General features: G+C 61.7%; 3 protein-coding genes across 3 annotated transcripts in view, besides 7 other annotated features; all 3 read left to right on the forward strand.

The window, feature by feature from the left end:
- Positions 1 to 7,387, forward strand: part of KNDC1 (kinase non-catalytic C-lobe domain containing 1) — a 66,194-nt gene extending 58,807 nt beyond the window's left edge. The window contains exons 28-30 of the mRNA NM_152643.8: positions 6 to 65; positions 930 to 1,087; positions 5,634 to 7,387. Coding sequence (NP_689856.6) covers positions 6 to 65; positions 930 to 1,087; positions 5,634 to 5,865 — 450 coding nt within the window. The 3' untranslated portion in view covers positions 5,866 to 7,387. The remainder of the gene's footprint in view (positions 1 to 5; positions 66 to 929; positions 1,088 to 5,633) is intronic.
- Positions 6,070 to 6,693: an enhancer, noted in NCBI's record as "H3K27ac-H3K4me1 hESC enhancer chr10:135038599-135039222 (GRCh37/hg19 assembly coordinates)". NCBI's record gives its function as "activates a minimal SCP1, AML or CMV promoter by ChIP-STARR-seq in primed H9 embryonic stem cells {active_cell/tissue: H9 hESC(primed)}" and the evidence as "EXISTENCE:reporter gene assay evidence [ECO:0000049][PMID:30033119]".
- Positions 11,174 to 11,973: an enhancer, noted in NCBI's record as "H3K27ac hESC enhancer chr10:135043703-135044502 (GRCh37/hg19 assembly coordinates)". NCBI's record gives its function as "activates a minimal SCP1, AML or CMV promoter by ChIP-STARR-seq in naive H9 embryonic stem cells {active_cell/tissue: H9 hESC(naive)}" and the evidence as "EXISTENCE:reporter gene assay evidence [ECO:0000049][PMID:30033119]".
- UTF1 (undifferentiated embryonic cell transcription factor 1) lies at positions 11,192 to 12,533 on the forward strand. The gene is made up of 2 exons (NM_003577.3): positions 11,192 to 11,813; positions 11,942 to 12,533. The coding sequence occupies exons 1-2, from the start codon at positions 11,264 to 11,266 to the stop codon at positions 12,415 to 12,417; spliced, it is 1,026 nt and encodes a 341-aa protein (NP_003568.2). The 5' UTR covers positions 11,192 to 11,263; the 3' UTR covers positions 12,418 to 12,533.
- Positions 12,774 to 13,573: an enhancer, noted in NCBI's record as "OCT4-NANOG-H3K27ac-H3K4me1 hESC enhancer chr10:135045303-135046102 (GRCh37/hg19 assembly coordinates)". NCBI's record gives its function as "activates a minimal SCP1, AML or CMV promoter by ChIP-STARR-seq in primed H9 embryonic stem cells {active_cell/tissue: H9 hESC(primed)}" and the evidence as "EXISTENCE:reporter gene assay evidence [ECO:0000049][PMID:30033119]".
- Positions 15,991 to 16,595: an enhancer, noted in NCBI's record as "H3K27ac-H3K4me1 hESC enhancer chr10:135048520-135049124 (GRCh37/hg19 assembly coordinates)". NCBI's record gives its function as "activates a minimal SCP1, AML or CMV promoter by ChIP-STARR-seq in naive H9 embryonic stem cells {active_cell/tissue: H9 hESC(naive)}" and the evidence as "EXISTENCE:reporter gene assay evidence [ECO:0000049][PMID:30033119]".
- Positions 17,805 to 18,408: an enhancer, noted in NCBI's record as "H3K27ac-H3K4me1 hESC enhancer chr10:135050334-135050937 (GRCh37/hg19 assembly coordinates)". NCBI's record gives its function as "activates a minimal SCP1, AML or CMV promoter by ChIP-STARR-seq in naive H9 embryonic stem cells {active_cell/tissue: H9 hESC(naive)}" and the evidence as "EXISTENCE:reporter gene assay evidence [ECO:0000049][PMID:30033119]".
- Positions 18,409 to 19,013: an enhancer, noted in NCBI's record as "OCT4-NANOG-H3K27ac-H3K4me1 hESC enhancer chr10:135050938-135051542 (GRCh37/hg19 assembly coordinates)". NCBI's record gives its function as "activates a minimal SCP1, AML or CMV promoter by ChIP-STARR-seq in naive H9 embryonic stem cells {active_cell/tissue: H9 hESC(naive)}" and the evidence as "EXISTENCE:reporter gene assay evidence [ECO:0000049][PMID:30033119]".
- Positions 18,830 to 22,903, forward strand: VENTX (VENT homeobox). The gene is made up of 3 exons (NM_014468.4): positions 18,830 to 19,130; positions 20,651 to 20,811; positions 20,907 to 22,903. Exons 1-3 carry the CDS (start codon positions 18,890 to 18,892, stop codon positions 21,279 to 21,281), a joined length of 777 nt encoding a protein of 258 aa, NP_055283.1. The 5' UTR covers positions 18,830 to 18,889; the 3' UTR covers positions 21,282 to 22,903.
- Positions 19,014 to 19,617: an enhancer, noted in NCBI's record as "H3K27ac-H3K4me1 hESC enhancer chr10:135051543-135052146 (GRCh37/hg19 assembly coordinates)". NCBI's record gives its function as "activates a minimal SCP1, AML or CMV promoter by ChIP-STARR-seq in naive H9 embryonic stem cells {active_cell/tissue: H9 hESC(naive)}" and the evidence as "EXISTENCE:reporter gene assay evidence [ECO:0000049][PMID:30033119]".
- Positions 22,904 to 23,693: the final 790 nt, after the last annotated feature.

Raw genomic sequence — 23,693 nt, forward strand, 5'->3', positions numbered from 1 at the left:
TTCAGGCCTGGAGAATTCTGCCTGCAAAGATAGCAGAGGTCATGGAGGAGCTGAAAGCCGTGGAGGTACCAGCACTTTACGTGGCCGGGCGGCTTTGGTCCCCCGAGGCCCTCTCCTAAACGAACTGCTGTGCAGAGCCTGCCGCACCCAGACGCAGGCACCACAGAGTGTGTGCAGGTGGCCCAGCCAGGGTGGCCTCACGGAGGCCTTGGAGTCATCTCCCGGCAGGGCCTCTGTTGCCACCTGGGCAGAGGTGTCCCACCTGCTCGGTCCCGGGGCCTTGCTGGTCTGAGTTCCTCACACAGAGCACAGGTGCCCAGAGGACAGCACTGAGGTCTGTGGCTGGGGCCTGAGCTTGACCGACCTGGACCTCCTCCAGGACGGCAGGGGTGGCCTCATGAGATGATGAACAAGGAATTGCTGCTGGAAGTGACCAGCCATCCCCAAACATGACTCAGACGAGTCCCAGAGCAGCCACAGCCTGTCCCCGTCTTGGGTCTCAGAGCTCGGCCTCAAGCCCCAGCCACAGCTGTCCACGGGTGGGACGGCTCCTGCATGTCTTTGCTGGACACGCAGACACGGGGCCCTGCTCTGGTCAGCCGGGGTCTCATTTAGGGAAGCTGGGTTACCTGGCACTTCCTGGAGTCCAGCAGAGAGCAAGGAAAGGGACTCACCATTTCAGCAGCAGGAGGCACAAAACCTCCCAGCGGCTGTCAGGGCCGTGAAAGCTTAAGACCCCGCAGGTGTGAGCCAAGTCCAACCATCCAGGAACATTCGGGACTGGAAGCTAATTCAGAGAGCCGGGTAGACCCCGTGCGTGGAGAACGCAGGACCCGCTGGGACTGGTTGGGCTGCGCTGGCCCCGGCTGAGGCTCCTGCACTGACCACGCCCTGTCTCTCCCCGGCCCACGCCCCGGCTGGACCACCAGGTCTTCCTGAAGAGCGACAGCCTGTGTCTGATGGAAGGGCGGCGCTTCCGGGCGCAGCCCACCCTGCCCTCGGCCCACCTCCTGGCCATGCACATCCAGCAGCTGGAGACAGGCGGCTTCACCATGACCAACGGGGCCCACAGGTGGAGCAAGCTCAGGTGAGGAGGGGCTCAGGCGGCCGCGCGCCCAGGAGAGGAGGGGCTCAGGCGGGCGCGCGCCCAGGAGAGGAGGGGCTCAGGCGGCCGCGCGCCCAGGAGAGGAGGGGCTCAGGCGGCCGCGCGCCCAGGTGAGGAGGGGCTCAGGCGGGCGCGCGCCCAGGAGAGGAGGGGCTCAGGCGGCCGCGCGCCCAGGTGAGGAGGGGCTCAGGCGGGCGCGCGCCCAGGAGAGGAGGGGCTCAGGCGGGCGCGCGCCCAGGTGAGGAGGGGCTCAGGCGGCCGCGCGCCCAGGTGAGGAGGTGCTCAGGCGGGCGCGCGCCCAGGAGAGGAGGGGCTCAGGCGGCCGCGCGCCCAGGTGAGGAGGGGCTCAGGCGGCCGCGCGCCCAGGTGAGGAGGGGCTCAGGCGGCCGCGCGCCCAGGTGAGGAGGGGCTCAGGCGGGCGCGCGCCCAGGTGAGGAGGGGCTCAGGCGGGCGCGCGCCCAGGAGAGGAGGGGCTCAGGCGGCCACGCGCCCAGGTGAGGAGGGGCTCAGGCGGGCGCGCGCCCAGGAGAGGAGGGGCTCAGGCGGCCGCGCGCCCAGGTGAGGAGGGGCTCAGGCGGGCGCGCGCCCAGGAGAGGAGGGGCTCAGGCGGCCGCGCGCCCAGGTGAGGAGGGGCTCAGGCGGCCGCGCGCCCAGGAGACGAGGGGCTCAGGCGGGCGCGCGCCCAGGTCAGGAGGGGCTCAGGTGGCCGCGCATCCAGCAGAGGAGGGGCTCAGATGGGCGCATGCCCAGGTGGGGCACGCTCAGGTGGCACCTCTCCTCCTGTCCTTGCTTTTCAGAGGCCTGGGTACCTTGCCCCTCACTTGGCACTCACAGCCTCAGACCTCCCTCTACCCAAGATAACCTCCAGCCACCTCCTTCTCTGCAAATCTGGAGCATTTCCTGCACTTCTGCTGTCCATGGTCCCAAAACACTCCCCGTGGTCTCTAGGGACCCCTGTGTTGGGACCCAGGCACACTTTCCACCCCACCCTGAGGGTCTCTGCAGCACAGAGGCTGCCCGGCAGCAACCTGTCCTGACCGCTGGGTGCCACAGTGTCCCTGCTCCCCTTGAAACCCCTCTCCCTAGAGACATCCAGGTGGGACCCAGGATCAGTCCTCAGCCTGTTCCTGTGGTCCTGCTGTCCACCTGCCCAGCACCTGGGACCAACTACCTTGCACACCACCTGGGAGGCGCAGACTGGGGCTGGCTGTAAAACCTACCACCACGACCCACAGGGCTCACACCCCAGGCCACACAGGCTCTTCCACCTGGTAAGGCACAGGGGCCAGCCTCTCCTTGGAGCCCCAGGCCTGTGTCCGATGACCCTCAGGTGCCCACAGCCCCAAGCTCGGCCTCACTCTCTCCCTCAAGACACAATCTCCCACCCTCCCGTCTCATCTCATCGCCTGCCGTTGTCCACACACGGTCAGGTGGAGGCTGCCCAGGCCACGGCGGCTCCACCCTCCCCCACGGTAGATGGCCTCACTTGGGGAGCAATGCTCAGCGGACCAGGTGCCCATGGATCCTCAGCCTGATAGGTGAAGGTCCCCTTCTTAGATAGCCACCAATTTAAAAACAATAATTATAATATGCCATAAATGTATGCTTATCGTAAGAGATCAGAAAACCCATGTCAGCAAAAGAGAAGTTAAAAACTTAAGGTAGGCCAGACGCGGCGGCTCACGCCTGTAACCCTAGGTAGGCCGGGCTGGGTGCAGCCACTCACGCCTGTAACCCTAGGTGGGCAGGGCTGGGTGCAGCCACTCACGCCTGTAACCCTAGGTAGGCCGGGCTGGGTGCAGCCACTCACGCCTGTAACCCTAGGTGGGCCGGGCTGGGTGCAGCCACTCACGCCTGTAACCCTAGGTGGGCCGGGCGCGGTGGCTCACGCCAGTAACTCTAACACTCTGGGAGGCCGAGGCGGGCGGATCACTTGAGGTCAGGAGTTCAAGACCAGCCTGGCCAACATGGTGAAACCCCATCTCTACTAAAAATACAAAAAATTAGCCGGGCGCGGTGGCGGGCGCCTGTAGTCCCAGCTACTCGGGAGGCTGAGGCAGGAGAATGGCGTGAACCCGGGAGGCGGAGCTTCCAGTGAGCCGAGATCGCGCCACCGCACTCCAGCCTGGGCGATAGAGCGAGACTCCGTCTCAAAAAAAAAAAAAAACTTAAGGTGATGCTCAATCAGGAAAGAAAACAAGCCAAGAGTGGCACTTGCTCTCCACAGCGTCCACGTGCGTATGTGAGCGCCTCCAGATCTGCCCTTCTCAGCATCCCCATGTGTGTGAGAGCCCATCCAGGCATGCTCTTCCCGGCGTGTGTGTGTGTGTGTGAGAGCCCATCCAGGCATGCTCTTCCCGGTGTGTGTGTGTGTGTGTGAGCCCATCCAGGCATGCTCTTCCCGGCGTGTGTGTGTGTGAGAGCCCATCCAGGCATGCTCTTCCCAGTGTGTGTGTGTGTGAGAGCCCATCCAGGCATGCTCTTCCCGGCGTGTGTCTGTGTGTGTGTGAGAGCCCATCCAGGCATGCTCTTCCCGGCGTGTGTGTGTGTGTGTGAGAGCCCATCCAGGCATGCTCTTCCCGGCGTGTGTGTGCATGAGAGCCCATCCAGGCATGCTCTTCCCGGCGTGTGTGCGTGTGCGTGAGAGCCCATCCAGGCATGCTCTTCCCAGTGTGTGTGTGTGTGAGAGCCCATCCAGGCATGCTCTTCCCGGCGTGTGTGTGTGTGTGTGAGAGCCCATCCAGCCATGCTCTTCCCAGTGTGTGTGTGTGTGAGAGCCCATCCAGGCATGCTCTTCCCGGCGTGTGTGTGTGTGAGAGCCCATCCAGGCATGCTCTTCCCAGTGTGTGTGTGTGTGAGAGCCCATCCAGGCATGCTCTTCCCGGCGTGTGTGTGTGTGTGAGAGCCCATCCAGGCATGCTCTTCCCGGCGTGTGTGTGTGTGAGAGCCCATCCAGGCATGCTCTTCCCGGCGTGTGTGTGTGTGAGAGCCCATCCAGGCATGCTCTTCCCGGCGTGTGTGTGTGTGAGAGCCCATCCAGGCATGCTCTTCCCGGCGTGTGTGTGTGTGAGAGCCCATCCAGGCATGCTCTTCCCGGTGTGTGTGTGTGTGAGAGCCCATCCAGGCATGCTCTTCTCGGCATGTGTGTGTGTGTGTGTGTGAGAGCCCATCCAGGCATGCTGTTCCCGGCGTGTGTGTGTGTGTGTGAGAGCCCATCCAGGCATGCTCTTCTCGGCGTGTGTGTGTCTGTGAGAGCCCATCCAGGCATGCTCTTCCCGGCATGTGTGTGTGTGAGAGCCCATCCAGGCATGCTCTTCCCGGCATGTGTGTGTGTGAGAGCCCATCCAGGCATGCTCTTCCCGGCGTGTGTGTGCATGTGTGTGAGAGCCCATCCAGGCATGCTCTTCCCGGCGTGTGTGTGCGTGTGTGTGAGAGCCCATCCAGGCATGCTCTTCCCGGCGTGTGTGTGTGTGTGAGAGCCCATCCAGGCATGCTCTTCCCGGCGTGTGTCTGTGTGTGTGTGAGAGCCCATCCAGGCATGCTCTTCCCGGCATGTGTGTGTGTGAGAGCCCATCCAGGCATGCTCTTCCCGGCGTGTGTGTGTGTGTGTGAGAGCCCATCCAGGCATGCTCTTCCCGGCGTGTGTGTGTGTGTGAGAGCCCATCCAGGCATGCTCTTCCCGGCGTGTGTGTGTGTGTGAGAGCCCATCCAGGCATGCTCTTCCCGGCATGTGTGTGTGTGAGCCCATCCAGGCATGCTCTTCCCGGCGTGTGTGTGAGCCCATCCAGGCATGCTCTTCCCGGCGTGTGTGTGTGTGTGTGAGCCCATCCAGGCATGCTCTTCCCGGCGTGTGTGTGTGTGTGTGAGAGAGCCCATCCAGGCATGCTCTTCCCGGCGTGTGTGTGTGTGAGAGCCCATCCAGGCTTGGCCTTTCTTTGCCGTAATGGACGCCCCTTTCTTTGTCCCTCACACTGGGCATGTGGTGTTTCCATCCAAAATCAGGACAGGGCGTCTGTCTGTGGCATCAGTGTCCCCAGGCCTGGCTGAGGGCTCCTGCTCGTGACTGGCCAGCTTTCTCCATTATATTCTATGGTGTGCTGGTCACTGTCAACCAGCTGTCCCAGGCTTCCGGCCCTGGGCCCCGGCCGTGGCGATTCCCAGGTGTGAATGTGAACGCTCTGCACGGCAGCAGAGAGTCCCTTGCCTGCCTCGTCCTCTCAGCTGCAGCCCCTGCGGCAGACTGGGCTTGACTCTTCTTGGGACGCTCAGCAGGGACGAGCCTGAGCCTGCAGGGTTTCCATAAGCGTGTGTGGACTGAAATGTGGATGGATGGACAGTCAGACAGACGGAAAGGTCTGAGTAGTGACCTTTCCACCTCGCCAATAAATACAGACAACCCACCCTTCAGAATTTACACGGTGAAAAGATTTAGTCCAAATGATTCCTAAGAACGCGGGGGGACTCCCTCCCCACGGAAGCCGCGCCCCTGCCCTGTGCAAACTAACGTCTCTTCTTTCCTCAACGGAAGGAACATCGCAAAGGTGGTGAGCCAGGTGCACGCGTTCCAGGAGAACCCTTACACCTTCAGCCCCGACCCCAAGCTCCAGTCGTACCTCAAGCAGAGGATTGCCCGCTTCAGCGGTGCCGACATTTCCACACTCGCCGCAGATAGCAGGGCCAACTTCCACCAGGTCTCCAGCGAGAAGCACTCACGGAAGATTCAGGACAAGCTACGGAGGATGAAGGCTACATTCCAGTAGCCGAGCTCGGGCCTGGTGTGGAATTCCAGATCCGAATCCGACTGTGGGGGGCGGGCTGGGAGGTGGGAGCCGCGTCTCAGGCCCGGCCGTTATCAAGGCCCCTCCGCCCCCGAACCCTGGGGAGCTGGACCAGGAGGTGGAGGCTCAGGGGACCCCATGGGGACAGGCAGAGCTGGTCTCCTCCCAGCAGACGGAGCCAGGACGGGCACAAGAGTCTTGGAGGTTTGCGTGTTTCTGCTAGAATTAAAAAGTTAAATTTAAAAATGAAAATGAAAGACAGCTTCCCAGGAGTTTTGTGCCTGTCTGCGCCTCTCACACACAGATAAGTGGCTCTTACCCAGCTCTCAGTGACTCCCCCACAAAACAGCAACAGCCTCCACCGCCAACTCAACAAACTTCAGAGTAGCTCCTCCCTGAGCAGGTTTCTGAGCCAGCCTGGGTTGGCTGAGCAACGAAGGGCCAAAGCTGACCTCTGAGTGGCCAACTGCAGCTCCCAGGGACTCCGAGACCTCCGGTCCGAGACCCTGCCTGGGTTCACCCCCCACAACCCAGACCCAGAACCGCTCTCCCCTTCCCTGCCCAGTGCCCCTCCTCCCCAGCCCAGACCCCCAGGTGCCCAAGGCCTGCTGCTGGAGCAGGCACCTTGGGCTGGGCCTGCTCCCCCAGGGCCCAGGGCCCCCCAGCTTAGAACAGCCCTTGGTGAGGTGGTCATGCCCGGGCAAAGGCCCTGCTTCCTGGAAAGGACACTCAGAGCAGCTCCAAGACAGAGGCTCTGTGGCGGGGGTCCCTGAGAGTGCCCCCACCCATCTCATGCCCCAGGGACCGCCACTGCCCACCGCCTCCAGCAGCCATGCATGTGCGCCCGCAGCCCTGCCTCCACAGCTCGCCACACACTCACGCTTCGCCAGAGACAGGAAGTGCGCTGCCTCCACGGCCCCTTGCCCTTGCTCAGGTTCTTGGACCCCAGGCAGCTGGTGTGGAGCCCCTTGGCCAGGGCCATGGGAGTCCCGCGCAGTCAGCTCCACATTGGCCTCTGCAGCTGGGTGACCAGAGCCCCGGGCACGGCCCCAGCTCCGTGGGGCTCTCACGGTGCCAATCACAAGACCCAGGGTTGTGCTTTTGAGTTTTAGAATTAGTCATTCTTTAGAGCAGCCAGCTAGTGGCATTTCTAGGAAAACTGTGACCTGTGACAAATCGCTGCATTTTTAATGTCAAGATGTGTTTTCCCACATAAATTCACCGGAGACATCCGGGCCCCGCTTCGATGTAACATGAGAGGAAGTCGGCGTCCTGGCCACGAAATGCAGTTCACTTTTTTTTAGGCTTTTATATGGATTATGTTTTGCTGACCCACGCCCGCATTTTCAGATTTTGTATCTAACAGACAGTGCTCAGTGCAAATCAACATTCCAGCGGTCAGGACTGACCCCGGGGCAGCACTGGGCTCAGGCTTCAGCGCGACTGTCCGCATGGCTCCCTCCCGTCCTGGCACCAATTTCTGAATAAAGTCCTTTCTACCAGCTGCTGCTGTGTGGTCACTCTGCGGGTCCCCACGGTGACCTCTGCAGGTCGACACGTTTTCCTTCATGGCCGCACGAAGGCCCCTTACAGGTGCTCACAAGGACTCCAGGTGCGAGATGTGCTCAACCCAGGACTGAAAACGAATCTGCCGGTCCACAGCGACGCCCTCTGATGCCGCAGAGAAAGGCCCGGGCCTGCCAGACGTGTGTCACAACTCAGGCCCCGCCAGGAGGAAAGCTACCGCCAGCACTCCCAGGCCGTGGGAACAAGCAAACGCACCGGCTGGGGCAGGAAACACTTGCTTCTGGTTGTGACTGCAAACAGCCTAAAAGAACGGACTCCCGTAACCACGCTCCTGTGTGCGCACATCCAGGCTCGCCCTCCATTGACAAAAAGGACGTCCCTCATGCTGGATGTGCAGTGTCTTCATCCAAGATCAGGACGGGCGTCTGTCCATCAGTTCTTACAGGCTATTTGCACAGACCCACGGCTGTTCTTGGGTCAATCTGCGCTAAACTCTGCCCAACCCAGCCAGTTCCCACCTGGCAGCCCTGTGGGCAAGACAGAGCTGGGTCCCCCGTCATCACGGTGCAAGCTCGCCGTAACTCTGACCACAGTGGAGCAGGAGGCCAGGACGGGGAGCTCCTGCAGGTGGGGCTTGTGGCCCGGGAAAGGACACTCTCACGGTTGTCACAGGGTAAGACTGGTGGACACCACTCAGGGAGGGGCTCACAGCCAGGGCTTCCAATGGTTTTGGGGTTGTAAACTGTGGATGCTTTTGGGAAAAGAGCTGATGGGTCTTTCGGGAAGTTCCCGTGATGAACGGTGCGGTTATCCGCCTGGAGGGAGGCCCAGGAGAAGCCGAGAAGACAAGATGGTGGAGTCCAATTGTGCTGGACAGGAGCTGCCCGAGACAGGGGGCCCTGGTCCTGGTCATGTGTGCGTCCTCGCCCCCACGCCATGCAGGCCGGACCCCTCACTGCAGTGGCTCCAATAAATTCAGCTCCGCTGAGCACAGGACTTTTCTCTTAGAGAGCTGACAGCCAGCAACCTCATGAGCCTCGCTTCTCGGCGCCATCCACTCCCCGGCTCTGTCCCCCACGCCGCCATCCACTCCCCGGCTCTGTCCCCCACGCCGCCATCCACTCCCCGGCTCTGTCCCCCACGCCGCCATCCACTCCCCGGCTCTGTCCCAGACGGGTTCAAGGCAGGCTGTGCTGTGCACTGCAGTGCCACTGTGGGCTAGACAGTCTGCGCTGGCGTCCTGTGCACCATCATCTCTGATCTCCACCCATCAGATGCCCCCAGCACCCCCAACCCTCAGTTATTAAAAATCTTTTTTTTTTTTTTGAGACAGAGTCTCACTCCGTCACCTAGGCTGGAATGCAGTGGTGCGATCTTGGCTCACTGCAACCTCCACCTCTTGGGTTCAAGCGATTCTCCTGCCTCAGCCTCCTGAGTAGCTGGGACTACAGACACATGCCACGACACCCAGCTAATTTTTTGTATTTTTAGTAGAGACGGGTTTCACTGTGTTAGCCAGGATGGTCTCAATCTCCTGACCTCGTGATCCGCCCGCCTCGGCCCCCCAAAGTGCTGGGTGTCAACAGGCTTGAGCCACGCGCCCAGCCTTTTTTTTTTTTTTAGATCCACCTCCCAGGTTCAAGCAATTCTCCTGCCTCAGCCTCCCTAGAAGCTGGGATTACAGGTGCACATCCAACGCCTCGCTAATTTTTGTATTTTTAGTAGAGATGGGGTTTCACCATGTTGGCCAGGCTGGTCTCAGACTCCTGACCTCAGGTGATCCGCCTGCCTCAGCCTCCCAAAGTGCTGGGATTACAGCCACCACGCCTGCACGCCCCCCTTTTCTTTTTAAGACAGAGTCTTGCCCTGTCACCCAGGCAGGAGTGCAGTCAGGTCATCACGGTACACTGCAGGCTTAACCTCCTGAGCAAAAGGACATCCTCCCGCCTCAGCCTCCCAAGTAGCTGGAACTACAGGCACCTGCTACTACACTCGGCTATTTTTTATTTTTTTGCAGAGATGGGGGTCTCACTATATTGCCCAGGTCAGTCTCAAACTCCTGGCCTCAGGAGATCTGCCCACCTCAGCCTCCCAAAGTGCTAGGAATACAGGTGTGAGCCCCGTGTATGAGTGCCTGGCCAGGAACCACAGATTTCTTGAGAAGTGTCTGAAAAGCTGATTCTAGGACCAGGGTCGGCAAAGGACCAGATGAGGCAGGAGCATCCTGTATTGCCAGGGAGCTGGGAGGGGGTTTCAAAAGGACAAGGAAGAGAGGAGGAGGTGAGAAGACTTTCAATGGCCAAAGCAGGAACGATATGCGCAAAAATACAAATAAAAGCCCGGCACAGGGGCTCACTCCTGTAATCTCAGCACATTGGGAGGCCCAGGCAGGAGGATCACTTGAGCCCAGGAGTTCAAGACGAGCCTAGGCAACATAGCAAGACCCTGTCCCTACAAAAAGTAAAAAAAAAAAAAAAAAACTAGGTGCGTGTGGTGGTGCACACATGTAGTCCCAGCTACCAAGGAAGCTGAGGCTGGAGGATCACTTGGGCCCAAGAGTTCAAGGCTACAGTGAGCTGTGATCAGGCCACTGCACTCCAGCCTGAGTGACAGAAAGAGACCCCATTTGTAAAAAATAATAAAAACAAACAGAACTTTTAAAACAAATAAATAATAACAGCATCGGGTTATGACCTAAAGGATAAAATAAATATACACGAGCCCACACTGTAGAAATAAATGACTGAGTAAATAAATCAACAGGCAGAGAGACAAACCTTACAGAAGAATCCCAGAAAATACAGACACCCCTCCAGGAGGTGGGGCCTAATTACTCTCCCCATGAGTTGGGGATGGGCTGAGGGGCCGGATTCCAGTGACCAGAGCAGGGATGGAAAGGCGATACCTGAAGACTGCAAGAGTGGCAGACAGTCCGCACCCCAGCACGGAGCAGACCTCACCGGTGCTGAGCCACAAGACAGGAGGGGCGAGACTCCACCCCTGCGCCTTCCTTCCTAAAACCCACCACCCTAGTCGGATCACAGGAAGACACCAGGCAAACCCAAGTCGAGGAACATTCAACAAAACACCTGGCCCGTCCTCAACCGTGTCGAGGACGCGAGAAGCTGCCACGGCCCAGAGGAGACCCAGGAGACAGAAGGACTCGGCGCCGTGCGGCAAGGAGGAAGAGCATTTAATAGGAAGAGAATTTCCTCCTCCCAGGGATGCTGGCTGCAGACGCGCTGCAGATGGAAGAAGTTCAGATTTTAAAAGCTACTTCTGCGAGCGCGTGAATTCCGACACCCATTCCCGCGGCTGGCGTGGCTTCTCCTCGGACCCATCCCCTGGCCTGGCGACTCCCCCTGGGACCCGGGTCGGTCCTCCGGACCCCTCGCGTGCAGGTGCTGAGCCCGGGCGGGGGCGGCGGGGGCGGGGGCAGCACTGGGGGCCGGACAAGGGGGCGCCAGCGCCTTCCGGAGCGGGAGGGGCTCCGCACACACCTCGACGGGGGCGGGGGTAGGCTCGGCACAGGCTAAAAACGAGCGGAGCCGCCGGGGCTTAGGCATCGCGGCACCTCCGTTGAACGGGTCTAAGAACAGAACTCCTGAGGACCCTCCGTTTCCAACCGAAGCCAGTCTTTGCTCTGCGTCTTCCCGGCCGCAGCGCCAGGACCGACCCCTTAGGACCCGGCGGGCGGGGCGGGGCGCGCGGGGCGGGGCGGGGATGGTGGGAGGGTCGCGTAGACCCGGCTGGGACGGAGGGACGGCGGCGCGGGATGCTCAGAACGCGTGTGGGCGGCCCGGGCGGCGTCTGGCCCTCTCCCCATCCTCGCGCGCCGCGCCCCAGCCCCGGGATGCTGCTCCGGCCCCGCAGGCCGCCCCCGCTCGCGCCCCCCGCGCCGCCCTCGCCCGCCAGCCCCGACCCCGAGCCGCGGACACCCGGAGACGCCCCGGGGACCCCGCCCCGGAGGCCCGCCTCGCCCAGCGCGCTGGGGGAACTCGGGTTGCCGGTGTCCCCGGGCTCGGCGCAGCGCACGCCCTGGAGCGCCCGGGAGACGGAGCTGCTGCTGGGGACGCTGCTGCAACCGGCCGTGTGGCGCGCGCTGCTCCTGGACCGCCGCCAGGCCCTGCCCACCTACCGCCGCGTGTCGGCCGCGCTGGCCCAGCAGCAGGTGCGCCGCACCCCCGCGCAGTGCCGCCGCCGCTACAAGTTCCTTAAAGACAAGTTTCGCGAGGCGCACGGCCAGCCGCCCGGGCCCTTCGACGAGCAGATCCGGAAGCTCATGGGGCTGCTGGGCGACAACGGGCGCAAACGGCCTCGCCGCCGCTCCCCGGGGTCCGGGCGCCCCCAGCGCGCCCGCCGCCCGGTCCCCAACGCGCACGCGCCGGCTCCCAGCGAACCAGGTAGGCGGGGGACTGGGGGGCCAGGTGGGGCCGAGGACTGCGGAGGAACCGGGGGCTGCCGAGGGCTGCGGGGGAGGGGCGGGCGCGCCCCGCGAAAATCCGCCCGACCGCCTGCTCCGCGTTCCCAGACGCCACCCCGCTGCCCACCGCCCGCGACCGCGACGCGGACCCCACCTGGACGCTCCGCTTCAGCCCGTCCCCACCGAAGTCTGCGGACGCCTCCCCCGCCCCCGGCTCCCCGCCAGCTCCCGCCCCGACCGCCCTCGCCACCTGCATCCCCGAGGACCGCGCGCCCGTCCGCGGCCCCGGGTCCCCGCCGCCACCCCCGGCCCGCGAAGACCCCGACTCGCCGCCCGGCCGCCCCGAGGACTGCGCGCCCCCTCCGGCCGCGCCCCCGTCGCTGAACACCGCCCTGCTGCAGACCCTGGGGCACCTGGGCGACATCGCGAACATCCTGGGCCCGCTGCGCGACCAGCTGCTGACCTTGAACCAGCACGTGGAGCAGCTGCGCGGCGCCTTCGACCAGACAGTGTCCCTGGCCGTGGGCTTCATTCTGGGCAGCGCGGCCGCCGAGCGAGGGGTCCTCAGGGACCCGTGCCAGTGAGTCCCGGCTGCGGCCAGTCTCCCCTCTCCAGGCCGAGGCCCCTCCGCCCTGACCCCTCCTGCTGCCTTCCCACCCCCGTTCTTGGGTATGTTCAATAAAAGGATTGTTTTCCTAGAGTCCGGGCTGTGTAGGAGTGCGGGTCTGGAGACGGGGAGGGAGTGGCGCCCTGCAGTGCTGGGGCTGCAAAGGTCAGGGCAGGGTTGCGACGCTCTCATCACAGAGAGGGGCTCCCACTCGCTCCTAAGGTGTAGACAGAGCTCCGTGGGGCGCACCCAAATGTAGGCCGAGGAGGCCAGGCTCGAGGGTGGTGGGCGTGGTGCCTGCTGCCGGGTCCTGGTCACACACTCGGTTCTCAAGGCCACACCAGACTCTCCCTGCCCCTCCCGGGGAGCCCCACTGAGTAAAACGAAGTGAACGGGTGGGCTCCGCTGGGGGTCCGGAGAGAACCTGAGGCTGACCCCACCTCTTCACTCAATGCAGGGGTAGGGGTTAGAGTGGTCGCCTCCACACTGCCCAGCAGAGAACCCCCTTTGACCCAGGAGTAGCATGGGGGGTTCCGAAGGTCCTCCCATGGCCTCGGGCAGCCTTGGACCACCCGGCTGAACTCTCCCAGGTCCTGGGAAACAAAAGGGGAAGAGAAGCCACAGAGCTCCAGGGAGGATGCTGGTTTTGTCTCCAGGGAGGTGGCTCTGGTCTGGGTGGGCCTAGGGAGGCGCTGAGCGTCTGGGGTGTGATCCTTGGGCAGAGGCTGAGGGCAGGGTCCTTGCAATTTTGAGAAAACCGAAGCAAACCTGCCCAGGAAGCATTTTCCAAGTAGCAATAGAGGGCCCCACCCTGGACCCCTGAGTCAGAAGAGGGATTGGCTGGAGCCGGAGATACAAATGTAGCCTGGAGGAGTTCCGCTAGCATAACAATGCCTGCAAATTAGTGGGCCCATCCAGAAAGACAAGTGGTTTGCCCAGGGCCATGCAGCTAAATGGGGCTGGGGGGGTCCCCGCTGGCCCAGCACCCAGCAGTCCTGAGGGGTTCCCTGTGGGTGGTATGGTTGCAGCCCCTCCTGCACATGCTTTTCTGGGTATCCAGAAGAATAGTTCCCGCTAGTGCTAAAGGCTGCTCCTGGGGAAATGAACGGCTTGCCCAGGTCTGAGGGGGAGGCCTGTGAGACCACGCCTGCAAGAACTGACTCCAAGCCTCACCTCATTTAAGAAACTGAGGCGCCGGACGCTGTGGCTCACGCCTGTAATCCTAACACTTTGGGAGGCTGAGGTGGGTGGATTGCCTGAGCTCGCTCAGGAGTTCGAGACCAGCCTGGGCAACATGGTGAAACCCCATCTCTACTAAAAATACAAAAATTAGCCGGGTGTGGTGGCGGGTGCCTGTAGTCCCAGTTACTCGGGAGGCTGAGGCAGGAGAAGTGCTGAACCCAGGAGGCGGAGGTTGCAGTGAGCCAAGATTGCGCCACTGCACACCAGCCTGGGCAACAGAGACTCTGTCTCAAAAAACAAAAAAACACTCTGAAGGCAGACGCGGTGGCTCACGCCTGTAATCCCAGGTCTTTGGGAGGCCAGAGGCGGGCAGATCACAAACGAGGTCAGGAGTTTGAGACCAGCCTAACCAACATGGTAAAACCCCATCTCTACTAAAAATGCAAAAATTAGGCATGGTGGCGTGAGCCTGTAATCCCAGCTACTCGGGAGGCTGAGGCAGGAGGAGGCAGGAGAATCGCTTGAACCTGGGAAGTGGAGGTTGTGCACTGCACTCCAGCCTGGGTGACAGAGCGAGACTCCGTCTCAAAAAAAAAAAAAAAAAATAGACACCCTAGGCCAGGCTAGGTGGCTCACGCCTATAATATCAACACTTTGGGAGGCCTGGGCGGAAAGATCACTTTGAGCTCAGGCATTCCAAACCAGCATGGGCAACATGGTGAGACCCCGTCTCACATCAGCTCCACCCTGCTGTGTTTCCTGAGAATCTTCAAGCTGCTAAAAGCCTGTTGGATGAGCCAAGCTTGCAAACATTCCCCCTCACATACACAGCCCCCAAAGGTCAGAGTCACAGGCTGAGGCCACAGTGGGGTCTGAAACAGAGCTTAGGTGCACCCTACATGACCCTGTCGCTCCAGAAGGTTACTGCTGACAGCAAGCCCAGGTCCAGACAGCCACATCCCAGCAAACACACCAGCACCCTAAGGGTGGGGGCTGTGCCGCTCTATCACTCGGGTTACTGGACACTCGGCCCTGGAGGAAGGACCCATCTCTGGGCTGGAGCAATTTAGGGGCACCAAGCAGAATTAATCTGCCTTCCTACTCAGGTAGTGGGGCAGGGGCCACGTGCTATGATCCTCCTGAGCCCGGTATCAGAATAATGAATCTGAATACATGGGCCCCGGACCTCTAATGCTTTCTAATCTGGTGCAGAGAGTGTATTTTGGCTGTTTAAATCAATCTAGGGGCCAGATGCGGTGGCTCATGCCTGTAATACCAGCACTTTGGGAGGCTGAGGCAGGAGAATTACTTGAGCTCAGGAGTTTGAGACCAGCCTGGCCAACATGATAAAATCCCATCTCTACAAAATACACAAAAATTAACTGGACATGGTGGCACGCACCTGCAGTCCCAGCTTCACTGGAGGCTCAGGCAGGAGGATCACTTGGGCCCTGGAGATCGAGGCTGCAGTGAGCTGTGATCACATGAGGCGCTCCGGCCTGGGCAACAGTGAAAGCCTGTCTCCAAAATAAGTAAGGCGCTCTGTAGGCATGGCAGGATTAGCCTCCTGTGTGCTGTTTAATGGGGCCAGTGTCTGAGCACAGTTGGTTTAGCGTTACCTTTTTTTTTTTAGATGGAGTCTGGCTCTTGTTGCCCAGGCTGGAGTGCAATGGTGCGATCTTGGCTCACCACAACCTCCGCCTCCTGGATTCAAGCGATTCTCCTGTCTCAGCCTCCCGAATAGCTGGGATTACAGGCATGTATCACCACGCCTGGCTAATTTTGTATTTTAGTAGAGACAGGGTTTCACCATGCTGGTCAGGCTGGTCTCGAACTCCCAATCTCAGGTGACCCGACCACCTTGGCCTCCCGAAGTGCTGGGATTACAGGCGTGAGCTACCGCACCTGGCCGGCTTAGCGTTTCTTTATCGGCCATGCACCAGACCAGCCCCACTTCCTAGTGGACGTGTCGGGGAGCGGGGAACATGGGGGAGTCGGGGAGCGGGGAGTGTGGGGGAGTCGGGGAGGGGAGCGTGGGGGTGTCAGGGAAGGGGGCGTGGGGTGTCGGTGAGGGGGGCATGGAGGTGTCGGGGAGGGGGGCGTGGAGGTGTTGGGGAGCGGGGATCGTGGGGCGTCGGGGAAGGGGGCACGTGGGATGTCAGGGAGGCCGAGGCCACAGGGGTGGGTGTTGGGGAGGGGTTGGGGAATCTCTACAAACTTTTTTTAAAGTCTGGTTAATTGACGTGTAATTCACATACAGTAAAACTCACCATTTGTAGTGTACGGTTCTACGAATTTGTAAAAATACATATAGTTGTGCAACCAAAACCACAATTGAGTTACGGAACATTTCCATAACAACAAGAAACTTTTTTTGTGTCCCTTTATAGTCACCTGCTCCCTGACTCCCAGCCCTGGCAACCATTGATCTATTTTCTGTTCCTATAGTTTCGCTTTTTCTAGAGGGCCATATGAATGGAATCATACAATGTGCAGCCTTTTCAGCCGAGTCTCACTCTGTCGCCCAGGCTGGAGTGCAGGGGCACGATCTCGGCTCACTGCAACCTCCATCTCCCAGGTTCAAGAGATTCTCCTGCCTCAGCCTCCTGAGTAGCTGGCCTCCCCCTCAGGTGGTCCCAGAGTGCTCGGAGGAGGCTCGGGCGAGTCGCGACGGGGCCGGCAGCACGCGCTGGGCCCGGTGTCTGTCCTCAGGCCCTGGACTCGGGGGGAGCGCGTTTCGGGGACTAGCTGGACTCCGGGCTGTGCGTGGGGGCGGTGCTGTCGGCCTGGGAGTGACGCGGGACTTCCTGCCCAGCGCAACCCGGCCTGGCCCCCGAGGGTGGGGGACAGGGCGACGCCCGCGGGGACCACGCTCTGGGGCGTGCGGGGCGCAATTCACGGGGCTGGGCTGCCCCAGGGGCTGGGAGGAAGGAGGCAGGGGGGCGCCCAAGTCTCCTACCCATGGCAGCGCATCAGGGCGCGTCCCAGAGCCGGGGGTGGACGGAGGCTTGGAGGCGGAGGCTTTGGGGACCCCCAAGCCTGGGCTAGAGCAGCCTCGGCGGGCTCTAGAGGGAGGGTGGAGGGAGGGGCCCGGGCTGCAGGAGGCGGGGAGGCCTGAGCCACGGTGGTGGGGCCGCTGGGCAGGAGAGAGGGGCTGCCTGACCCTGCCGTGTGAAGGTGAGGTTGTCTTCGGGCTTGGGGGGATCGGAGGGGGCGGTTCAGGTGGAGGTGGTGGCGGGGGGCTGGGAAACCGGCAGGAGGGGCTCTATGTAGAGCTGGGGGTGGGGGTGCTGAACCACGTACAGAAGGGGGCTGAGACACCGGGGCCCTGGGCCCCGGAAATTAGAAATGGAGAAATGGAAGGCTGGGTGCTGGCGTTTCGGAAATGCATGCTCGTGGTGTTCCTCTTTATGTAAGGGAAGCTTCTGGGCCTTTTCCCTGCCTGTCGAACGTTCTGTATGTTTTTGCGGGATGTGTGAGGTGTGCTGTCTTGCTCCACTTTGAGGCACCGCCCCCACTGCGGGAGTGCTGGGGACCTGCCCCATGGGGCATCCTCGGGGCCAGCCCTGTGGCCACAGGCATCTGGGCCCTCGCTGCCCCTGGCCGGGACACACTGCCGGTCCTGTGCAGTGGCTCAAAGCCCCTCTACCGGGGGTGACCCGGTCTCTCCGGAGATGAAGTGCAGCGGGGGTCTAGGCCGGCTTCCTGGCCCCCCACCCCTCCTGGCTTTACCCCCGAGGCCACGTCCAAAGCCCCCAGCGCCCCACCCCCGCCAGCCTCCCCCTTGAGGGCCCAGTGACCTAACTGGGCCGGCAGGGTCCGAGGAAGACCAGGGTCAGCGGCGGCACGGTCCGTTCCGCGACCCCTCTCCTGTGACCCCAGGTAGGCCGCCGATCGGTTCCCGGCTGAGGTCCCGCCCCAGCGCCCGCCTCCCGGGCTCCAACCTCTTTGCTCAGCCCGGGAGGCTCGGCTGGCTGGGGCGGGCGTAACCGTGGGGCGAGGCCCGCCGGTCTTTCTGATTTCCGCGGGCGGCGTGGGCGCTGAGGCAGCCGCGGTCAGGACCTGGCCGGGAGTCGGGGCTGCTCCGTGGACCCCGCGTCTGCGCCGAAACCCCGCATGGCTTCGGGGGCCGGACCTGCGCCTCCGCCTAACTCCGGCCGCCGGAGACGCCGTGCGGACCCCAAGCCAGTGCGCGGAAGACACCGTCCTACCCTCGGCATGGCTGCCTCCCACCCGGTCACGTCGGTCCCCGCGCCCCACGCCGACGCGCAGGCGACCCGGGGACGCGGAGACGCAGACAGCTCGGGACTCAGGTTCGTGGGAGCAGCGGCCGCGCGTGGCTATGACCGTCCCGGGGGCCCGTGCTCAGGGCGTCCCCGTGAGGTTTGGGCGCCACAGTCACCGGCGGCTCTGCCCGCGCCCTGGCCACAGTGGGGACAGCCTGGCTTGGCGGGGACGCACCAGTCCCGCCGCCGACGCGGAGTTCCTACCCCGCCGTGCGAGGCAGTGGCTCCGGCCCTTCCAGCTCGGGATGGAGTCAGGGAGCCGCCCGCGCCCGAATGCAGAGGCTCCTGCGATGGCCCCGGAGTGAGTCCCCCAGAGGAGCCGGATTAGGGCTGGAGGCGGCCGAGTCCCCCGAGAGGCCCCTCCCGACATTCCCGCCCCCGCGCGCCGCTCCCCGGGTCCTCCGCGTCTCTTTCCCGGGAAAGCCTCCCTCGGTTCCTGCGCGGCCGCACAGCCTGGACGCAGCGCACGCGGGCACCGGCCTGACTCTCCCACCCCGAAGCCTGCTCCCAACCTAAGTCCGCCCTGACTCTCCCAGCCTGAAGCCTGCTCGCCCTCGGGTGTCCGGGCTGGGCACAGGCGCCAGCGTCCCCCTGGAGAGGAGAGGTCGCCCGGCACCTCCCAGGACAGGCCCAAGTGGGAGTGGGACCCTCCTACCTTCCTGCAGCCTCGGCCCGCGGGGTGGGGGGTTGGGAGAGATGAAAGGAGGTGACCGATCCCGAACCATCGCCTCTCCATTAACCAGGGCCCGCAGCCCCGCCCCTCCCCCAGACATCGAGGAGCCGGGGAGGTGTGAACGGCCTCCTTTGTGCCTCTGAATCGAAGGCAATTAGGCGCTGCTTATCTGGGCATTAGCCGTGTATGCAAACCGGGCTCCCGCCCCCTCCTCCTGGGCTTATAAACGCCGCCGCCTGGCGAGGCCCGAGGTGGATCCTGCGCCTGGCCAGCCCCGCCTGGCCTTCCCTCCGGCCCACCTGGCCGCCATGCGCCTCTCCTCCTCCCCACCTCGTGGCCCGCAGCAGCTCTCCAGCTTTGGCTCCGTGGACTGGCTCTCCCAGAGCAGCTGCTCAGGGCCGACCCACACCCCCAGGCCTGCCGACTTCTCCCTGGGGAGCCTCCCTGGCCCAGGCCAGACATCCGGCGCCCGGGAGCCCCCTCAGGCCGTCAGCATCAAGGAGGCCGCCGGGTCCTCAAATCTGCCTGCGCCGGAGAGGACCATGGCCGGTAGGTCCGGGTGGGGGGGGTCCCTTCCTTCCCAGGTGGAGATGGGAGTGGGGGAGAGGCCAGGAGCCCGGCGGCTGCACTCCCCGCGGTGCCCTGCCCACTAGGTCAGGGCCGGGGGCGTTTCCATGAGGGCCGGCGGAGGCCTTGCCGGCGCCCTCACTGGAGCGCAGCTTCCCTCGGAACCAAAGCCTTGACGGGGATTTCCTCTCCTTGAGCCCCCGGTGGGCTCCTCTGCCTCCTTTTGTCACCCCGTTCCTCAGCTGTGTCTTCGTCCCCCACCCCGGCCTGGTGCCGAGGGACCGTCCAAGGGGTCCCCGTCCGCACCTCCCTGCCCTGATTCCGGGCGCTCACTGAAAGTCTCGATGATTTGCCAAGCCCCCCGCCCCCGCCCCCCAGCACAGCCGGTGCCTGCTCAGCGTCTAGGCTCAAGCCCATTCCGGGTCACCTGGAGCACAGCTGTCTTTAAAGAGCCTGCAGGTTCGCTGCAGGGGTGGCGGTGACCCCGATGCCTGCAGAAACTCTGAAGTTCCCTCTGTGGCCGCCCAGATGCTCTGTTGTCTGCTGAGAACAAAGGTTCTCTGCGTTTGTGTTTTAGTCTTTGTGACATCATCACCACTTTTAGGTTTAAGGTAGTACTTGGTCAAAAGTGGGGTTGACATCATCTACAAGTTTTCATTTTTAAAAATTTGACTGATCCTTATGGAGTGACTTTGTACTTAAGGGAAATGAAAATTTAAATGTATTCTCCCCAGCTAGCTATCCTGCCCCACCCCAAAAAAGCCAGCCATCCCTGTCCCGCAACCCCCTTTCTGATGCCAGTCCTACAGCCCTCCCTGCCAGAAGGCATTTGCTTTTTGGGTCTACCATGTGCTTTCAGGCTAACGTTAAGACAGATTTTGTAAAATACGCTTCCTTCCGCAGAAACTCCAGCGAGCATTTTGGTCAGACTTGCATTTAATGTCGAGCTCGATTGGCCACGTTGGCCTTTCCTGGGACCCAGACCCAGCTCCACAGACCACCTCGTGGGGCCGTTTGGTGCCAGCCCCCATTCCTTAACTTAGAAATTAGGAAACAGACTTGACCACAGTGGGCCTGGGGATTAACTGAGTTGGCCTCCGCTGGCTGAGGAGACGGAGCCCGGGACAGGGATGGGTGCCCCTGGGTGGGTCGCCAGGCCTTTGCATATAATGGATTCTTACCTTACCGGCCTGGAAGGCTGTGGGAAGGGCATCCTGGGAACCGGCTTCTGGAAGGGAAGTGTGGGATGGGGCGGAACTGAGTGGACTGAGCGGAGGGCAGGCCCAAGCTGCTGTTAACATTCCCTCCCCTCTTGAGCCCCCTCTCTGAGCCCCCTTTCCGCATGTGACCTGGGAGGCGGCGGGGGTGCTGCTGGTCACTGTCAGGTGAGAAGATCTGCCCTGCCCAGCCCCCAGCATGGCTGTCTTCACCTGTTACCCGTGGGCACGAGCTTGCCCCATGGGGTGGCATGTTGAGCCAAATGCCCTTACCCTCTATGTCAGGGTTGAGTAAGGAGCCAAATACCTTGCGGGCCCCCCGTGTCCGCACAGCCTTCACCATGGAGCAGGTCCGCACCTTGGAGGGCGTCTTCCAGCACCACCAGTACCTGAGCCCTCTGGAGCGGAAGAGGCTGGCCAGGGAGATGCAGCTCTCAGAGGTCCAGGTGAGGTGGGCCGGGCAGGCTGGGGTGGGCAGGGGTGGGCAAGGGTGGGCTGGTGGCCTAGTCTCACCCCTGTTCTGATCTTGCTTTTCCTACAGATAAAAACCTGGTTTCAGAATCGCCGCATGAAACACAAACGGCAAATGCAGGACCCCCAGCTGCACAGCCCCTTCTCGGGGTCTCTCCATGCGCCCCCAGCTTTCTACTCAACGTCTTCTGGCCTTGCCAATGGCCTGCAGCTGCTGTGCCCTTGGGCACCCCTGTCCGGGCCCCAGGCTCTGATGCTGCCCCCTGGCTCCTTCTGGGGTCTCTGCCAAGTGGCACAAGAGGCCCTGGCATCTGCGGGAGCTTCCTGCTGCGGGCAGCCTCTGGCGTCCCACCCCCCTACCCCAGGCCGGCCTTCGCTGGGACCAGCCCTGTCCACGGGGCCCCGGGGCCTGTGTGCTATGCCACAGACGGGGGATGCATTTTGAGGAGGCACCTCTGACTCCCACACTCGCGGTCTTGCTGATCGCACCTGGCTCCTACCTGGAGGACTCAGTTGTTCTGTTTACATCCTGGTGGCACCTCTCACCCTGACCCACACAAAGGTTCTGGAGATTACTGGAGAATATATATAAATATATATATGTACGTATATATGTAAATACACATATACGTATATATAAATATATATATACATATGTGTGTGTATATATATATATATTTTTTTTTTTTTTTTTTTTTTTGAGACGGAGTGTTGCTCTGTCACCCAGGCTGGAGTGCAATGACGCAATCTCGGCTCACTGCAACCTCCGCCTCCTGGGTTCAAGCGATTCTCCAGCCTCAGCCTCCCGAGTAGCTGGGATTACAGACACCCGCCACCACGCCCGGCTAATTTTTTCTATTTTTAGTAGAAATGGGGTTTCACCATGTTAGCCAGGCTGGTCTCAAACTCCTGACCCTGTGATCCGCCCGCCTCGGCCTCCCAAAGTGCTGGGATTACAGGCATGAGCCACTGCACCCGGCCCTGAGAATATATTTATTAAAGCCACCTCTTCACTGAAAGTTACCGAAAGAGTCGGTTTAGGAAGGAAACGAAGGGTCAGTGAACAGAGTCAAATGCAGAAGTGGGCTTGTCATGGGTAGGGCTTTCGGCGTACGATAAAAGGATCATTTGTTTTTTAAAAGGGGTTGGAAAAACTGGTTTTCCAGTTGGAAACAGTAAAGGTTGTAAGCTTTGTGTGTACAAAAGAAAACAGGGAATGCAGGTGTGTTTATAGCGTTGTGGTTCAAGTCCCTCTTAACAAGAACTCCAAAGCTGGAAAGCAGGAGGGAACAAAGGTGAACATGAAGGCGAGGATGCTGGGGCCCTGCAGTGCGCTCTAGGCTGTGCGTGAGCCGGGACTGTACCCACAGCTTGCTGAGGGCTGCTCTTCTTGGGCCAGGGAAAGCAGGGCAGCCGGGACCTGCGGCTGTGCCTGGACTGAAGCTGTCCCGCAGGTCCCCACCCTCCAACACGTGCTCACCTGTCCCCCTGCTCGCAGCAGCCTCGGGACAAAACAATGACTCAAGGACAGCACTTCTTGCAGAAGGTCTGGAAGTGCCCAGAATGGGAGGCACGGAAGCCCCTCCCGGGGAGGACTCCCGCGTTGATGGACCGTTCTTGGTGCAGACTCCTGACTGCGTGCATGAAACCTGAGACAAGTGCAATTCCTTCCATGTCGCCCCAGAGTGCCCAGGAGGCAGGCAGTGCGGGGTGCCCAGGCAGACGGGTTCAGCCTGCAGAACTGGAGGCGACCTGTGAAACCCACCCGGGCACCCCAACAGGAACAGAAGCGTGGTCCTGCGGCTGCGTCCCCAGCGAGTTTCACTTTCCCCTTGCTCGTTTCTCCCTTGTTGTAAGTGTTTACAACTGGCATGTGCTTTTAAACGTCAGGTAAGAGGGGAACAGCTGCTGTACATCGTCCTGGCGAGTGACAATGTGACAGAAGCCTGGGCGAGGCCCTCGGAGGGCAGCAGCTGGACAGGGACTACTGGGTTTGGCCTGGACAGCACTGATTTGTGGATGTGGATGGGGGCACGTTGTCCGTGATAAAAGTACAAGTGCCCCTCACCGCCCGTGGAGATTGCTTTCTGGTCCCCTGTGTGGCCCCAGGCCACAAACCACACCGTCTTGGTCCTGAACTCTCCCGGTGAGTAAGGGCCCTGGCCTGGTGGTGTCTCGAGGTCCTGCCAGCACACTGGGCCCTACAAGGTGGGCAGCCCCTTGGGGCTGAGCTGTGCCTGTTCGGAGGCACACCTGGGCCTCCTTAGGGCCCTGGCTCCATCCTGCAGATGAGGAGCTCTGGAAAAGGGCAAAGTCCCGGAGGCTGAGGAGTGGGGCGGGCTCCAAGTGTCCAGCAGGGACCTAGACCCTGAGTTCTGGGGGATCCACAAGGCCCTCAGGCCCAGGGAAGGCTCTGCCACCCACGACTTCCAAACTTCTCTCCCTGTCCCCCATCCGGGGCTGCAGAGTGAGTTGGCCCAGGCCTCATGGGCTGCTGGTATCTGGGTGGACCTTGAAGACCAAGATGCCCCCAAGCCCTACTCCACCCACCTGCTGCGTCACAGCTGGCCGGGATGCAGTGACCACTCCGCTGGCCTCAGCCTGTTTCCGCTCTCCCCTGGGGGCCTTCCTCACATCCCCACAGCCTGTTTCCGCTCTCCCCTGGGGACCTTCCTCACATCCCCGCAGCCTGTTTCCCACTCTCTTCTGGGGTCCTCTGGCTGACAGCTGGACGTCAGTCCCAGAGTTTGGCAAGTCCTCTGCTCCTGGATGCCCCCAGCTGCCCCCACAAGCACAGTGCCCCAGGTGCTCTTGGCCCCACCCCACTCAACATCCCCATGTGGACATCTTACAAGCA

The sequence above is a fragment of the Homo sapiens genome, chromosome 10 (genome assembly GCF_000001405.40).
Source record: "Homo sapiens chromosome 10, GRCh38.p14 Primary Assembly".
Taxonomy (NCBI): domain Eukaryota; kingdom Metazoa; phylum Chordata; class Mammalia; order Primates; family Hominidae; genus Homo; species Homo sapiens.

Coding starts and splice junctions, on each gene's coding strand:
- UTF1 (NM_003577.3), top strand. CDS start 11,264: ATGCTGCTCCGGCCCCGCAGGCCGCCCCCGCTCGCGCCCCCCGCGCCG. Junction 11,814..11,941: donor GCCGGCTCCCAGCGAACCAG/GTAGGCGGGGGA, acceptor CCGCGTTCCCAG/ACGCCACCCCGCTGCCCACC.
- VENTX (NM_014468.4), top strand. CDS start 18,890: ATGCGCCTCTCCTCCTCCCCACCTCGTGGCCCGCAGCAGCTCTCCAGC. Junction 19,131..20,650: donor GCCGGAGAGGACCATGGCCG/GTAGGTCCGGGT, acceptor CCTCTATGTCAG/GGTTGAGTAAGGAGCCAAAT. Junction 20,812..20,906: donor TGCAGCTCTCAGAGGTCCAG/GTGAGGTGGGCC, acceptor CTTTTCCTACAG/ATAAAAACCTGGTTTCAGAA.